Source organism: Homo sapiens, chromosome 5, assembly GCF_000001405.40.
Source record: "Homo sapiens chromosome 5, GRCh38.p14 Primary Assembly".
NCBI lineage: Eukaryota > Metazoa > Chordata > Mammalia > Primates > Hominidae > Homo > Homo sapiens.
In genome coordinates, this window is record NC_000005.10 from 169,372,806 (window position 1) to 169,390,118 (window position 17,313).

The 17,313-nt window shown below is 39.6% G+C and overlaps 1 annotated feature.

The window, feature by feature from the left end:
• Window positions 1,074–1,575: an enhancer, noted in NCBI's record as "H3K4me1 hESC enhancer chr5:168800883-168801384 (GRCh37/hg19 assembly coordinates)". NCBI's record gives its function as "activates a minimal SCP1, AML or CMV promoter by ChIP-STARR-seq in primed H9 embryonic stem cells {active_cell/tissue: H9 hESC(primed)}" and the evidence as "EXISTENCE:reporter gene assay evidence [ECO:0000049][PMID:30033119]".

Sequence of the window (17,313 nt, forward strand, 5' to 3'; positions counted from 1 at the left end):
AAGTGGACCTACCATTTGATCCTGCATTCCCCTTCCACCCAAAGGAAAAGGAGTCATATCAAAAAGACACAAAGAACAAAGACACCTGCACGTGTATGTTTATTGCAGCACAATTCACAATTGCAAAGATATGGAATCAACCTAAGTGCCCATCAACAATGAGTGGATAAAGAAAATGCAGTGTGTATATGTGTATATACATATATATGTGTGTGTATATATATAGTATATATGTAGAATATATATAAATGCAGTATATATACTGCATTTTACATGTGTAAAATAGTATTTTATGATATATATATTATGTAATACTACTCAGCCATAAAAAAGAATGAAATAATGTCTTTTGCAGCAATTTGGATGGACTCAGAGGCCATTGTCCTAAGTGAAGTAACTCAAGAATGGAAAACCAAATACCACATGTTCTCATTTATAAGTGGGAACTAAGCTATGTGTACACAAAAGCATACAGAGTGGTATAATGGACATTGGAGACTAAGAAGTGGGGAGGGTGGGAGGGGGATAAGGGATGAAAAACTACCTATTGGGTGCAATGTACACTACTTGGGTGATGGGTACACTAAAATCCCAGACTTAACCACTCTACAGTTCGTCCATGTAACCAAAAACCACCATCGTACCCCTAAGGCTACTGAATTTTTAAAATGTTTTTCAAATTTAATTAAATGAATTGAGGGTGTCCTCAATCTGTGAATGGAGATAGTAATAAGTAGATAACATGCTGGATATCAAAATCCAGATTTACTTTTAAAGCAACTGGAAGAGAAAAATGGGTCACAATAAAGAGAAGAATTTTTTCAGAGATAAAGAAAAAACATCCTAACCTAATGTACAGAAGGGTGACTATAGTCAATAATAATGTACCGTGGGGGGGATCATGGCACACAGGAGGCAGGACTAGGTTGCAGCTCCCACTCGGACAAAGCAAGCAGTGTATGGAGGCTCACATCATGAACTTTTGCTCCAGAACAACTGCAGGAATAAATCAGGAAAACTGAGAGAACCCACAGACCCTCTGAAGAAATGGATTGCTCCTGCAGGACCTGGAAGACATCCCAAATACTGTGAGCACCCAAACTGTGGAAGTGGGAGTGGGGGATCGTCCACCCCTGAACACACACCCTCACTGGGGAACCTGAAGGTCTAGATCACAGGAGAAGATTCTGACCTTACCTGGAGCTGAGTCAATTTAGAGAGCCAAGCAAAATACAGGGGTAGAGGAAGCAGCAGAAAAAGCCCTGTGGGTTTGCTGGGTCCCCTCGCAAGCCGTTTTTGCCTTGCCTCACGGGGTCCTTGGGGTGGGCTGCCCAAGGTACTGGGAAAAGGCCACGGGGAGAAGGAAACCTCCAGCTGAACTCTGTAACAATTTGAACCAATCGAGAGGTCTCCTGGCCAGAACTCAGGGGAGGGCGTGAAACCGGTGTGCCGACTCCACAGGTGGGGGAAGCTGGAAAGCCCTACTTGCTTTTGCAACTGGGAGGCGGGTAGCCTGGGACAAGTTCTCTGCCCTGCTCACCCACTGCTGGAAACAGACTTGGTGCTATTGGAGGCGGGGCATAGTGGGAGTGAGACCGGCCCTCTGGGTTGCAAGGGAGCTGGGCGACTGCTGGCTTTCCCCCACTTCCCTGGCAACCTGCATGAAAGAGTAAAGGCAGCCATAATTATCCTAGGAACATCACTCCATTCACCTGGGAACCACACTCCCATCCCCCCACAGCAGGCACACCAAGCCGTGCCCAAGGAGAGTCTGAACTCAGACATACCTAGCCCTGCCCCCCACCTAATGGTCCTTCCCTAGCCACCCTGGTAGCTGAAGATAAAGGGCATATACTCTTGGGAGTTCCAGGGTCCTGCCAACTGTCTGTTCCTCCCCATACTACCATAGCTGAGGCTCTCTTGAAAGTGCCTCCCAGCAGGAGGCCAATCAGTACAAAAATAGTGCATTAAAAAACCAAAGCTAAGGCCCTCCAGAGAGTCCATTTCACTTCCCTGCCATTGCCACCAGAACAGGTGCTGGTATCCACGGCTGAGAGATCCAGATGGCTGACATCACAGGACTCTGTGCAGACAACCCCCAGTACCAGCCCGAGCCTGGTAGAATTGCTGGGTGGCTAGATCAAGAAGAGAGATAACAATCAGCTGAACTACAGCTCAGCTCTCAGGAAGCCACACCCCTAGGAAAAGAGGGGGAGTACTACATCAAGGGAACACTCTGTGGGACAAGAGAATCTGAACAACAGCCTTAAACCCTAGACCTTCCCTCTGACAGACCCTACCCTAATGAGAAGAAACCAGAAAACCAACTCTGGTGATATGACAAAACAAGGTTCTTTAACACCCCCAGAAAATCACACTAGCTCACCAGCAACGGATCCAAACCAAGAAGAAATCACTGATTTACCTGAAAAATAAGTCAGAAAGTTAGTTATTAAGCTAATCAGGGAGGCACCAGAGAAAGGCAAAGCCCAGAGTAAGGAAGTCAAAAAATGATACAAAAAATTAGGGGAGAAATGTTCAGTGAAATAGCATAAATAAAAAACAATCAAAAATTCAGGAAAAAATGGATGCACTTATAGAAATGCAAAATGCTCTGGATAGTCTCTGCAATGGAATCAAACAAGCAGAAGAACTTCAGAGCTCAAAGACAAGGTTTTCAAATTAACCTAATTCAACAAAGACAAAGAAAAAGCAATAAGAAAATATGAACAAAGCCTCTAGGAAGTCTGGAATTATGTTAAATGACCACGCCTAAGAATAATCAACATTCCCGAGGAAGAAGAGAAATCTAAAAGTTTGGAAAACATATTTGGGGAAATAATCGAGGAAAACTCCCCCAGCTTTGCTAGAGATGTAGACATCCAAATACAAGAAACTCAAAGAACACCTGGGGCTGGCCGGGTGCGGTGGCTCACTCCTGTAATCCCAGCACTTTGGGAGGCTGAGGCGGGTGGATCACAAGGTCAGGAGATCAAGACCATCCTGGCTAACATGGTGAAACCTGGTCTCTACTAAAAGTACAAAAATTAGCCAGGTGTGTTGGCACATGCCTGTAGCCCCAGCTACTTGGGAGACTGAGGCAGGAGAATGGCTTGAACACAGGGGGTGGAGCTTGCAGTGAGCCGAGATCACGCCACTGCATTCCAGCCTGGGTGACAGAGCGAGACTGTGTCTCAAAAAAAAAAAAAAAAAAAAAAAAACCACCTGGGAAATTCATCACAAAAAGATCATTGCCTAGGCACATTGTCATCAGGGTATCTAAAGTTAAGACAAAGGAAAGAATCTCAGAAGCTGTGAGACAAAAGTACCAGGTAGCCTGCAAAGGAAAACCTATCAGATTAACAGCAGATTTCTCAGCAGAAACCATACAAACTAGAAGGGATTGGGACCCTATATTCAGCCTCCTTAAACAAAATAATTATCAGCCAAGAATTTTTCATCTAGAGAAAGTAAGCTTCATAAATGAAGAAAAGATACAGTCTCTTTCAGATGAACAAATGCTAAGAGATTTCACCACTACCAAGCCAGCACTACAAGAACTGCTAAAAGGACCTCTAAATCTTGAAACAAATCCGGGAAACACATCAAAACAGAACTTCTTTAAAGCATAAATCTCACAGGACCTATAAAACAAAAGTACAATAATAATAATAAATATATATACAGGCAACAAATAGCACAATGAATTGAGTGGTACCTCACACCTCAATACTAATGTTGAATGTAAATAGCTTAAATGCTCCACTTAAAAGATACAGAATTGCAGAATGGATAAGAATTCACCAACCATCTGCTGCCTTCATGAGACCCACCTAACACAAAAGGAATCACATAAACTTAAGGTAAAGGGGTGGAAAAAGACATTCCATGCGAATGGACACCAAAAGCGAGCAGGAGTAGCTATTCTTATATCAGACAAAACAAATTTTAAAGAAACAGCATTGTGACATTATATAATGTCACATTATATAATGATATATAATGATATAATTATATAATGATAAACAATTATTATATAATCATAAAAAAGCCTTGTCCAACAGGAAAATATCACAATCCTAAATATATATGCACCTAACACTGGGGCTCCAAAATTTATAAAACAATTACTAATAGACCTAAGAAATGAGATAGACAGCAACACAATAACAGTGGAGGACTTCAATACTCCACTGACAGCACAAGATAGGTCATCAAGATGGAAAGTCAACAAACAAACAATGGATTTAAACTATACCCTGGAACAAACAGACTTAACAGATATTTACAGAACATTCTACCCAACAACCGCATAATATACATACTATTCATCAGCGCATGAAACTTTCTCCAAGATAGACCATATGATAGGCCACAAAATGAACCTCAATAAATTTATGAAAATTGAAATTATATCGAGTACTCCCTCAGACCACAGTGGATAAAACTGGAAATAAACTTCAAAAGGAACCTTCAAAACCATGGAAATTAAATAACCTGCCCCTGAATGATCATTGGGTCAAAAATGAAATCAAGATGGAAATTAAAAAATTCTTCGAACTGAAATACAATAGTGACACATCTATCAAAACTTCTGGGACACAACAAAGGTGGTGTTAAGAGGAAAGTTCATAGCCTTAAACGCCTGCATTAACAAGTCTGAAAGAGCACAAACAGACTATCTAAGGTCACACCTCAAGGAACTAGAGAAACAAGAACAAACCAAACTCAAACATAGCAGAAGAAAGGAAATAACTAAGATCAGAGCAGAACTAAATGAAATTGAAACAAACAAACAAAAAAATACAAAAGATAATGAAATAAAAAAAAAACTGGTTCTTTGAAAAAATAAATAAAATTGATAGACCATTGGCAAGATTTACCAAGAAAAGAAGAGAGAAGAGCCAAATAAGCTCAATTAGAAAGGAGATGGAGATACTACAACTGACATCACAGAAATACAAAAGATCATTCAAGGCTGCTATGAACACCTTTATATGCACAAACTAGAAAACCTAGAGGAGATGGATGAATTCCTGGAAAGATACAACCCTCCTAGCTTAAAGCAGGAAGAATTAGATACCTTGAACAGATCATTAAAAAGCAGTGAGATTAAAATGGTAATTTAAAAATTACCGACACACACACACACAAAAAAATGTGAAGGACCAGACGGATTCACAGAAGAATTCCACCAGACATTCAAAAAATTGGTACCAATCCTATTGACACTATTCCACAAGATAGAGGAAGAGGGAATCCTCCCTAAATCATTCTATGAAGCCAGTGTCACCCTAATACCAAAACCAGGAAAGCACATAACCAAAAAAGAAAACTACAGGCCAGGTGCGGGGGCTCATGCCTGTAATCTTAGCACTTTGGGAGACTGAAATGGGTGAATCACCTGAGGTCAGGAGCTCGAGACCAGCCTGGCCAACATGGTGAAACCCTATCTCTACAAAAATACAAAAATCAGATGGGCATGGTGGCACATGCCTGTAATTCCAGCTACTTGGGAGGCTGAGGCAGAAGAATTGCTTGAACCTGGAGGGTGGAGGTTTCAGTGAGTCAAGATCACACCACTTCATTCCAGTCTGGGTGAAAGAGTGAAACTCCATCTCAAAAAAATAAGAAAAGAAAACTACAGACCAATATCCCTGATTAACGTAGATGCAAAAATCCTTAACGAAATACTAGCTAACCAAATCCAACAACATACCAAAAATATAATCCACCATGATGAAGTGGGTTTCACACCAGGGACGCAGGGATGGTTTAACATATGCAAGTCAATAAATGTGATACACCACATAAACAGAATTAAAAACAAAAATCACATGATCATCTCAATAGATGCAGAAACAAAATCCAGCATCCTTTTATGATTAAAACTTTCAAGTCAGCTTCATCCCTGGGATACAAGGCTAGCTCAACATATGCAAATCAATAAATGTAATCCCTCACATAAACAGAACCAAAGACAAAAACCACATGATTATCTCAATAGATGCAGAAAAGGCCTTCGATAAAATTCAACATTGTTTTATGCTAAAAACTCTCAATAAACTAGGTATTGATGGAACATATCTCAAAATAATAAGACCTATTTATGACAAACCCACAGCCAGTATCATACTGAATGGGCAAAAGCTGGAAGCATTCCCTTTGAAAACTGGCACAAAACAAGGATGCCCTCTCTCACCACTCCTATTCAACATAGTATTGGAAGTTCTGGCCAGGGCAATCAGGCAAGAGAAAGAAATAAAAGATATTCAAATAGGAAGATAGGAAGACAAATTGTCTCTGTTTGCAGATGACATGATTGTACATTTAGAAAACCCCATTGTCTCAGCCCAAAATCTCCTTAAGCTGATAAGCAACTTCAGCAAAGTCTCAGGATACAAAATCAATGTGCAAAAATCACAAGCATTCCTATACACCAATAATAGATAAACAGAGAGCCAAATCATGAGTGAACTCCCATTCACAATTGCTACAAAGAGAATAAAATACCTAGGAATATACCTTACCAGGGATGTGAAGGACCTCTTCAAGGAGGACTACAAACCACTGCTCAAGGAAATAAGAGAGGACACAAACAAATGGAAGAACATTCCATGTTCACGGATAGGAAGAATCAATATCATGAAAATGGCCAGACTGCCCAAAATAATTTATAGATTCAATGCTATCCCCATCAAATTACCACTGACTTTCTTCACAGAATTAGAAAAGCCTACTTTAAATTTCATATGGAACCAAAAAAGAGCCCGTATAGCCAAGACAATCCTAAGCAAAAAGAACAAAGCTACAGGCATCAATCATGCTACCTGACTGCAAACTATACTACAAGGCTACAGTAACCAAAACAGCATGGTACTGGTACCAAAACAGATATATAGACCAATGGAACCGAACAGAGGCCTCAGAAATAACACCACACATATACAACCATCTGACTTTTGGCAAACCTGCCAAAAACAAGGATTCCCTATTTAATAAATGGTGTTGGGAAAACTGGCTAGCCACATGCAGAAAACTGAAACTGGCCCCTTCCTTACACCTTATACAAAAACTAACTGAAGATGAATTAAAGACCTAAACATAAGACCCAAAACCATAAAAACCCTACAAGAAAACCTAGGCAATACCTTTCAGGACATAGGCATGGGCAAAGACTTCATGACTAAAACACCAAAAGCAATGGCAACAAAAGCCAAAATTGACAAATAGGATCTAATCAAACTAAAGAGCTTCTGCACAGCAAAAGAAACTATCATCCAAGTGAACAGGCAACCTACAGAATGGGAGAAAATTTTTGCAATCTATTCATCTGACAAAGGGCTAATATCCAGAATCTATGTGGAACTTAAACAAATTTACAAGAAGAAAACAACCCCATCAAAAAGTGGGCAAAGGATATGAACAGACACTTCTCAAAAAAAGACATTTATGCGGCCAGCAAACATATGAAAAAAAAGAACTCATCATCACTCATCATCAGAGAAATGCAAATCAAAACCCAATGAGATACCATCTCACACTAGTTAGAATGGCGATCATTAAAAAGTCAGGAACAACAAATGCTGGAGAGGATGTGGAGAAACAGGAACACTTTTACACTGTTGGTGGGAGTGTAAATTAGTTCAACCATTGTGGAAGACAGTGTGGTGATTCCTCAAGCATCTAGAACCAGAAATACCATTTGACCCAACCATCCCATTACTGGGTATATACCCAAAGGATTATAAATCATTCTATTATAAAGACACATGCACACGTATGTTTACTGCAGCACTATAGCAAAGTGCTCACGATAGCAAAGACTTGGAACCAACCCAAATGCCCACCAATGATAGTCTGGATAAAGAAATTATGGCACATATACACCATGGGATACTATGCAGCCATAAAAAAGGATGAGTTCATGTCCTCTGCAGGAACATGAATGAGGTTGGAAACTATCATTCTCGCAAACTAACACAGGAACAAAAAAACCCAACACCACATGTTTTCACTCATAAGTGGGAGTTGAACAAGGAGAACACATGGACACACGGAGAGGAACATCACACACTGGGGTCTGCCGGGGGGTGGGAGGTTAGGGGACGGATAGCATTAGGAGAAATACCTAATGTAGATGATGAGTTGATGGGTGCAGCAAACCACCATGGCACGTGTATACCTAGGTAACAAACCTGCACGTTCTCCACATGTATCCCAGAACATAAAGTATATTAAAATAAAACCTCTCAGCAAAATCAGCATACAAGGGACATACTTCAATGTAATACAAGCTACCTTTGACCAAACCACAGCCAACATAATACTGAATGGGGAAAAGTTGAAAGTATTTCCTCTGAGAACGGGAACAAGACAAGGATGTCCACTCTCACCACTTCTAGTCAACACAGTACTGAAAGTCCTAGCCAGAGCAATCAGACAAGAGAAAGAAATAAAGGGTATCCAAGTTGGTAAAGAGGAAATCAAACTGTCATTGTTTGCTGATGACATGATTATTTACCTAGAAAACCCTAAAGATTCATCCAGAAAGCTCCTACAATTGATAAAAAAAATTTCAGCAAAGTTTCTGGATACAAAATTGATGTACATGAATCAGTAGCTCTGCTATACACCAACAGTGACCAAGCTGAGAATCATATCAAGAACTCAACCACTTTTAAATAGCTGTAAAAAATAACATACTTAAGAATATACCTAATCACGGAGGTGAAAGACCTCTACAAGGAAAAACACAAAACACTGATGAAAGAAATCATAGATGACACAAACAAATGGAAACACATCCCATGCTCATGGATGGGTAGAATCAATATTGTGAAAATAACCATACTGCCAACAGCAATCTACCAATTCAATGTAATTCCATAAAATTACCACCATCGGCTGGGAGTGGTGGCTCATGCCTGTAATCCCTGCACTTTGGGAGGCCAAGGTGGGCAGATCACGAGGTCAGGAGATCGAGACCTTCCTGGCCAACATGGTGAAATCTTGTCTCTACTAAAAATACAAAAATTAGCTGGATGTGGTGACACGTGCCTGTAGTACCAGCTATTCAGGAGGCTGAAGCAAGAGAATCACTTGAACCTGGGAGGTGGAGGTTGCAGTGAGCTGAGATCGTGCCGCTGCACTCCAGCCTGGCAACAGAGTGAGACTCCGTCAAAAAATAAACAAACAAAGAAACAAAAAACAAAAAAACACCCACAATAATTCTTCACAGAACTAGAAAAAACAATCCTAAAATTCATATGGAACCAAAAAAGAGCCCATATAGTCAAAGCAAGACTAAGCAAAAAGAACAAATCTGTAGGCATCACATTACCTGATTTCAAATTATACTATAAGGCCATAGTCACCAAAGTAGTATAGTACTGGTATACAAATAGGCACATAGACCAATGGAACCAAATAGAGAACCCAGAAATAAACCTAAATACTTGTAGCCAACTGATCTTCTACAAAGCAAACAAAAACATAAAGTGGGGAAAGGACACCCTATTCAACACATTGTGCTGGGATAATTGACAAGCCACATGTAGGAGATTGAAACTGGATCCTCATCTTTCACCTTATACAAAGATCAACTCAAGATAAATGAAGGACTTCAATCTAAGACCCAAAACCATAACAATTCTAGAAAATAACATTGTAAAAACCCTTCTAGATATTGGCTTAGGCAAGGATTTCATGACAAAGAACCCGAAAGCAAATGCACTAAAAAGCAAAGATAAATTGTTGGGACTTAATTAAACTAAAGAGCTTTTGCAAGGCAAAAGCAACAGTCACTAGAATAAACAGACAACCCACAGAGTGGGAGAAAATCTTCACAATGTATACATCTGACAAAGGTCCAATATTCAGAATCTACAAGGAACTCAAACAAATTAGCAAGGAAAAAGCAATCCCATCAAAAAGTGGGTTAAGGACATGAATAGACAATTCTCAAAAGAAAGCATACAAATGGCCAATAAATATGAAAAAATGCTCACCATCACTAATGATCAGGGAAATGCAAATCAAAACCACAATGTGATACCACCTTACTCCTGCAAGTACGGCCATTAAAAAAAATGAAAAAATAATAGATGTTGGCATGGATGCGGTGAACAGTGAACACTTCTACACTGCTGGTGGGAATGTAAACTAGTGCAACCCCTATGGAAAACAGTGTAGAGATTCCTTAAAGAACTAAAAGTAGAAATACCATTTGATCCAGAAATCCCACTACTAGGTATCTACCCAGAGGGACACAAGTCATTATACAAAAAAGACACTTGCACACGCATGTTTATAGTAGCACAATTCGCAATTGCAAAAATGTGGAACCAACTCAAATGCCCATCAATCGACGAGTGGATAAAGAAACAGTGGTATACATATATACAATGGAATACTACTCAGCCATAAAAAGGAATGAACTAATGGCATTCACAGAGACCTGGATGAGATTGGGGACTATTATTCTAAGTGAAGTAACTCAGGAATGGAAAACCAAACATTGAATGTTCTCACTCATAAGTGGAAGCTAAGCTATGAGGATGCAAAGGCATAAGAATGACACAATGGACTTTGGGGACTCAGGGGGAAAGGACAGGAAGTGGGGTGAGGGATAAAAGACTACAAATTGTGCAGTGTATACTGCTTGGGTGATGGGTGCACCAAAATCTCACAAATTACCGCTAAAGAACTCATGTAACCAACCACCACCTATTCCCCAATAATCTATGGAAATAAAAAATTTAAAAGAAATGAAGTGTATTTTATCTGAAAAAATAAAAACAAAAAAATAATAATGGACTGTGTATTTGACATTTGCTAAGAGAAAGCTTAAGTATTCTCGCCAGGCACACACACGCACAGGCGCACCTGCACATGCACACATGTGCAAGGTAACTGTGCAGTGATGGATATGTTAATTAGCTTGATTGTGGTAATCATTTCACAATGCATACATATATCAAAACATCACATTGTACACATTGAATCCTTGATACAGCTGAAAAGAATAAAAAACAAAAAAGAGAAAATGTCCTATATTTATAATTAAAAACATTAAATTTCATGAGAATGAAATTGGAGAGACATAGCTTATCAGCAGTAAATGTGAAAATGACTTTGGGATTTAAGTTGATTGCAAGCTCAGTATGAATTACCAATATGGCATGTCTACCATTTAACCTTTGGCTGTATTCTAAGAAGCTTTGCATCACATATAATGAAGTTGATGGTCTCAAAGTGCTCTAGGCTGGTCAGCTGGTGCCTCAGAACCCTGTGATGTAGGCATTATTTCATTTACAAAAGAGCCTGAAGCCACCAAATTTGCCAAAGGCCAAAGGACTACATGATGGAACACTGACTTAATAAACAGGCTAATTGGTGCTAGGACATGGGCAATACATTGCACATGCATAATATCTTTGAATACAACAATGGCTTGTGGTGAGTTTTGTTATTTATCCATTTATCCATTACAGATGTTATTTATCCATTACAGATGAGGAAACTGAGACAGAGGTAGATAAAGCAACCTGCTCAAGCTCATACACACAGTAAGTGACTGAGGTCAGATTAAAACCCAGGACTATTTGATTTAACCACTGAGCTATGCTGCCTCTCTCAGAGAAACAGAAAGAATTTTCTACCAGTGAAATCTTTTAAAAAATATCTCAAGTGGCTCAAGTTGAAGCCGGTGGTCCCTGTGTGTGGGTAGAACTGTAAACTGAGATACTTGGAAATTCCCAGCCTTTATGATTCTGTCCATTTAGTCTTTGGAATGCATTTTTCACAGGGTATACTGAACACCAACTCAATGCTAATCAGTAAGCAATTGTTGACCTGAGTGGAATAGAACTCCACTCTCTAGAAGGGGACCAACTCGGTGCATTGCTGTGGGAGTTGTGGCTTTGCAAGTGAGCTTTCTAGCTATTTGTGTCAAAGCTGAATTAGAGGGAGGCAGGCTTTCCAGTGCAGCTAGCAATTAGAGTTCAACCCACAAATTCCTGCACTGGGCTGGCTGCTTTTGTGGGAAGGACAGGAAAGGAGGCACCTTCAAGGGACAGTGGGACAGAGCAGAGGCAGCAGCGGGTAGCAGCCCCGGGAGCTGTGGCCACAAGAACAGCCTGGACAGCTGGCCTCAGTCTTGATTTGGATAAAGATGTTTATTCTGCTCTACCTCCCAGGCCTCTCCCTTCCTGCCCTAAGGGCCGTCCACTGGAGTGACTGACGAGGTGATTAATTAGATACAGACTCACAGACCCAGCCAAGAATTGTTCGCAGACTGAGGTTCATATGGGGGGTTAGAGAGACCCTGCCAGCAGTACTATATAGATAGCCTCCCTCTTTGCCCTCTCCTGTAGTCTAAAGGTCATGATCCATGAAAAAAGTCTGAATCAAATGCCTACCACCCCCAGGTGATGCCTGAGCACATAATTAGCTGGTGTTGTGGAAATGGTGATGTACAGAGCATGGAACTCAAGTCTTGATCGGTGTGGTGGGAGTGGGGGGATCCCTGGGAGCCAGTGCTCTCAGATGATCAGGCATAGATTGTCCAGTTGGTTCCTGGAGGGAGTATAAAAAGCCCCTCTTACTCAACACGCACTCCACTGTTTTTCTTAAACAAACAACCAAACAACCAAATCATCACCTCCTTGGTCAAAGCAGTGGTTCTCAAACATTTTCACCTCAGTCCCCTTTTTACTCTTAAAAATAATCAAGGACCCCAAAAAGGACTTTTGTGTAGTGAGTTTTATCTCTCAAGATTAACCATATTTGAAATTAAAACTGAGCAAGTTTTAAAATAAAAATGTATTAGTTCATTTAAAAATAATCCACCATTATATGTAAACATAAATTATTTTTTTCAGAAAAATAACTATATATTTTCCAAAACAAAAATATTTGGTGAGAAGACTGGCATTATTTTACATTTTTGAAGATCTCTTGAATGTCTAGCTTAATGGGAGGCAGCTGGATTTGAATATCTGCTCCTGCTTTCAATCTGTTGTGATATGTTGTTTGGGTTGGAGGTTATGAAGAAAGTCTGGCCTCACACAGTATGTAACTGGAAAAGAGAGAAGTATTTCAACAGCCTTTTTAGTAACTGTGGAGATTCTTTTTTTTTTTTTTCTTGAACTTCACCAAACAGGTTAGTTGCACTGTGGGATATGCACCCACATTGGTAAGCTTCTAAAACTCTGTTTTGTTTCATTAAAATCTAATGAAAACCTAGGCAATACCATTGAGGACATAGGCATGGGCAAGGACTTCATGACTAAAACACCAAAAGCAATGGCAACAAAAGCCAAAATAGACAAATGGGATCTAATTAAACTAAAGAACTTCTGTACAGCAAATGAAACTACCATCAGAGTGAACAGGCAACCTACAGAATGGGAGAAAATTTTTGCAATCTACCCACCTGACAAAGGGCCAATATCCAGAATCTACAAAGAACTTAAACAAATTTACAAGAAAAAATCAAACAACCGCATCAAAAATTGGGAAAAGGATATGAACAGACACTATTCAAAAGAAGACATTTATGCAGCCAACAGACACATGAAAAAATGCTCATCATCACTGGTCATCAGGGAAATGCAAATCAAAACCACAATGAGATACCATCTCACACCAGTTAGAATGGAGATCATTAAAAAGTCAGGAAACAACAGGTGCTGGAGAGGATGTGGAGCAATAGGAATGCTTTTACACTGTTGGTGGGACTGTAAACTAGTTCAATCATTGTGGAAGACAGTGTGGTGATTCCTCAAGGATCTAGAACTAGAAATACCATTTGACCCAGTGATCCCATTACTGGGTATATACCCAAAGGATTATAAATCATGCTACTATAAAGACACATGCACATGTATGTTTATTGCGGCACTATTCACAATAGCAAAGACTTGGAACCAACCCAAATGTCCCTCAATGATAGACTGGATAAAGAAAATGTGGCACACATACACCATTGAATACTATGCAGCCATAAAAAAGGATGAGTTCATGCCCTTTGTAGCAACATGGATGAAGCTGGAAACCATCATTCTGAGCAAACTATCGCAAGGACAGAAAACCAAACACCACATGTTCTCACTGATAGGTGGGAATTGAACAATGAGAACACTTGGACACAGGGCGGGGAACATCACACACCAGAGCCTGTCGTAGGGTGGGGGGGATGGGGGAGGGATAGCATTAGGAGAAATACCTAATGTAAATGACGAGTTAATGGGTGCAGCAAACCAACACGGCACATGCATACATATGTAACAAACCTGCACGTTGTGCACATGTACCCTAGAACTTAAAGTATAATAAAAAATAAAAATAAATAAATAAAATGAGAACTATTAGTTTAAAAAATCTATTGATCTGTCTTGAACTGTGAATGAATCTTTTTGGGGGGAGGGGTTTAGAATTGTATTGTTGGTTTACACTTCCATAAATATTTTACTAAAAACTCTTATGAATAGGTACTTGGATTTCTGCAAGTATAAATTCCCAGAGGTAGGATTGCTGGACCAAAGACATGCTTTTGTTTTTGCTTTTTTAATTCTCACAAACAGCTATACAAATTCACATCTACACAAATGATGGATCAGGGCACCCCTCTTCTGACATCCCCACCAGCACTTGTAGTTAGCAGTCTTTTTAATGTGCACCAGTCTGATGGATGAGAAATGGAATCTTGGTGTGACTTTAATTTGTATTTTCCTGTTTACTAGTAAGCATCTTTCCATCGGCTACGAGTTTGTTCTTAATTTGAGTTTGTGAGACAGAATGGTATTTGAGTTTGTGAGGCAGAATGGTATTGATGATGTTAAGCATATTTTTTGGCTCTTTGGATTTCCCATTCGACTGCTATTCCTATCCTTTGCCTGTTTTTTTCTTCAGGGTTTGTCTTTGCACTATGAATGTGCTGGAGCTCAGTGCAGGGTATTTATTTTTTTGACATTTTTTTAAGTTCTGGAGGACCTGTGCAGGATGTGTGGATTTGTTACATAGGTAAACATGTGCCATGGTGGTTTGCTGCACCTATTACCCATGCATGATTTTCTAAAATCAAACATTGACCATTTGAAAATTATTGATTTTCTGAGTTATGTAGATTTTCTAGATGTTGACACATTTCATTGTATAATATAAAAACATCACATCTATTAATATCACCACTGATCTTACCAGAAAAAAAAAATCTGTAACTATTGGGAGACTGCCAAGCTCACTGTGGCAGATATAAATTTTTCAAAATTCTAATTTTTGCTTGAACACTCACATTTTATCATTGACATCAAATGCTGTCAGTCGCTTTCCTTGAAACGACAGGCTCACTTTGTTCATTTTTGAGAAAATGTCTGCCAAATACCCAAGTCTGAATAACCAGTTGGCCTGTCAGTCATTTTTTCATGAAAAAAAATGGTGTTCCATGACAATAGTGGCTAGCTCAACTCACAGCTGAATCACACAAGTGCTTTCCCTTGAAAATTTGTTATGCAGCAGAAGTGCTTTATGTTTGCGTCCCATTTTGTTGCAGAATATATTTAAAAGTATATGCAAGGGTAGAGATACAATAAAATTAATAATATTTACTGCTTCACCATAAATATTCTTAGGAAAATGGACTTTTTCCCCCCTATGAGGATGATGTTGATGAATGCAATAACAGCTGAGTGCCACTACCCTGATTTGTTAGGCTGGCAGTTAGATCCACTATTGCTTTTTCACCATTAGTGCAAACGTTAACACAGTGAAGATGGCAAATAACATCTAAGTATTACTAAGAACATAGTTTCGACTTTGCAGACTTCCTGAAAGGTTTTTAGGGCCCAGGAGACCCCTAGACTGTACTTTGATAACCGTTGAGCTAAAGTGTTGAAGAACTTTATTAAAATGCAAATGCCCTCTAGAAGGGATGAGTAAAAATATAAACTCTTGGCAGTCACTGACAGCTTCGTGTGGAGGCAAGAGAATGCAGCAAGGCTGACCCTCAACTTTAGGAGTCAGATAAATCTGAGTTAGAATACCAAATCCTACACTTTCTAGCTCTGTAAATCATGTAATTTTTGAGGTCTCTCTCTTTCTGTCTGTAAATGAACATAATGATCCTAAACCTTTACATTTGCTAAAAGAGTTTAATAGGATAAGTGAGTACCTAATGCATAGTTTGTATAATTAACTCAATAATTATTCTCTGGTTTTATAATTTATGTTCTTATAACCTAGTAAAAGTAGGATAAAAGATGGCTATGTTTTTATGGGTTTGGGGAATTGGAAGCTTCCTGGAAGTCACAGGGTAGATATTTCCCGAGTGTCAACCAAGATGAGCCTTCTAGGGAGTACACAGGAAAAGGAATGAAGAAGGGACTCCGGGGGCTCCACTTTTTCATTCATTCATTCAGCGAATATTTGATGATCATCTACTGCATGCTAGTCTCCAATTTTGTCCTAAGAAAGGCCACAACATCATGACAGTAACTGGTAGGATAGACAAGATGTTGGATTCAAATCAATGAACCTGGCTTTTGGTCGCAGTTTTATACTGGTTGTGTCACCTGGGGCATGCCCTTTAAGTTCTCTGCAATTCTGTTTCCTTGTTCACAAAATGGGAAAGATAATAAATGCTTCACTGTGATGTTTCAAAGAATAAATGTAAAAATGCGGTTAAAGTAGTCTTTCATTCGTGGTGGCTGTGGTTCTTGAAGTGACTCACTTTTTGACGTCTTGAAAAGCAACAGCACATGGAAAAAGGAATCCTTTCTGACTTATTTTTGTTTTTTTGAGACAGGGTCTTGCTCTGTCACCCAGGCTTGAGTACAGTGGCTCAATCATGGCTCACTACAGCCTTGACCTCCCGGGCTCAGGTGATTCTCCCACCTCAGCATCCCGAGGAGCTAGAACTATGGGTGCATGCCACCATGCCTGGCTAATTTTTTGTATTTTTCTGTAGAGATAGGTTTTTCCATGTTGCTCAGCCTGGTCTCAAACTCCTGGGCTCAAGGAATCTGCCTGCCTCAGCCTCCCAAAGTGCTGGGATTGCAGGCATGAGCCATCGCACCCAGCTCTTCTGATTCTTGATCTCTTTGACTATAAATTAGAATAGTAATACCTGCCTCCTTTTGAGGGGTCTTAGGATGTATAGTATCAATATAGTTCATATGTGCCACATAGTAGGTGCTCAAAAAATAGCTACTAGTTATGATTTTGTGGTGGGACAGATACACCTCCCATGGAAGCTGGCATATAGTAAGCCAGGATAATAAGTGGAAGAGAAAAACTTTTAGCACAATACCA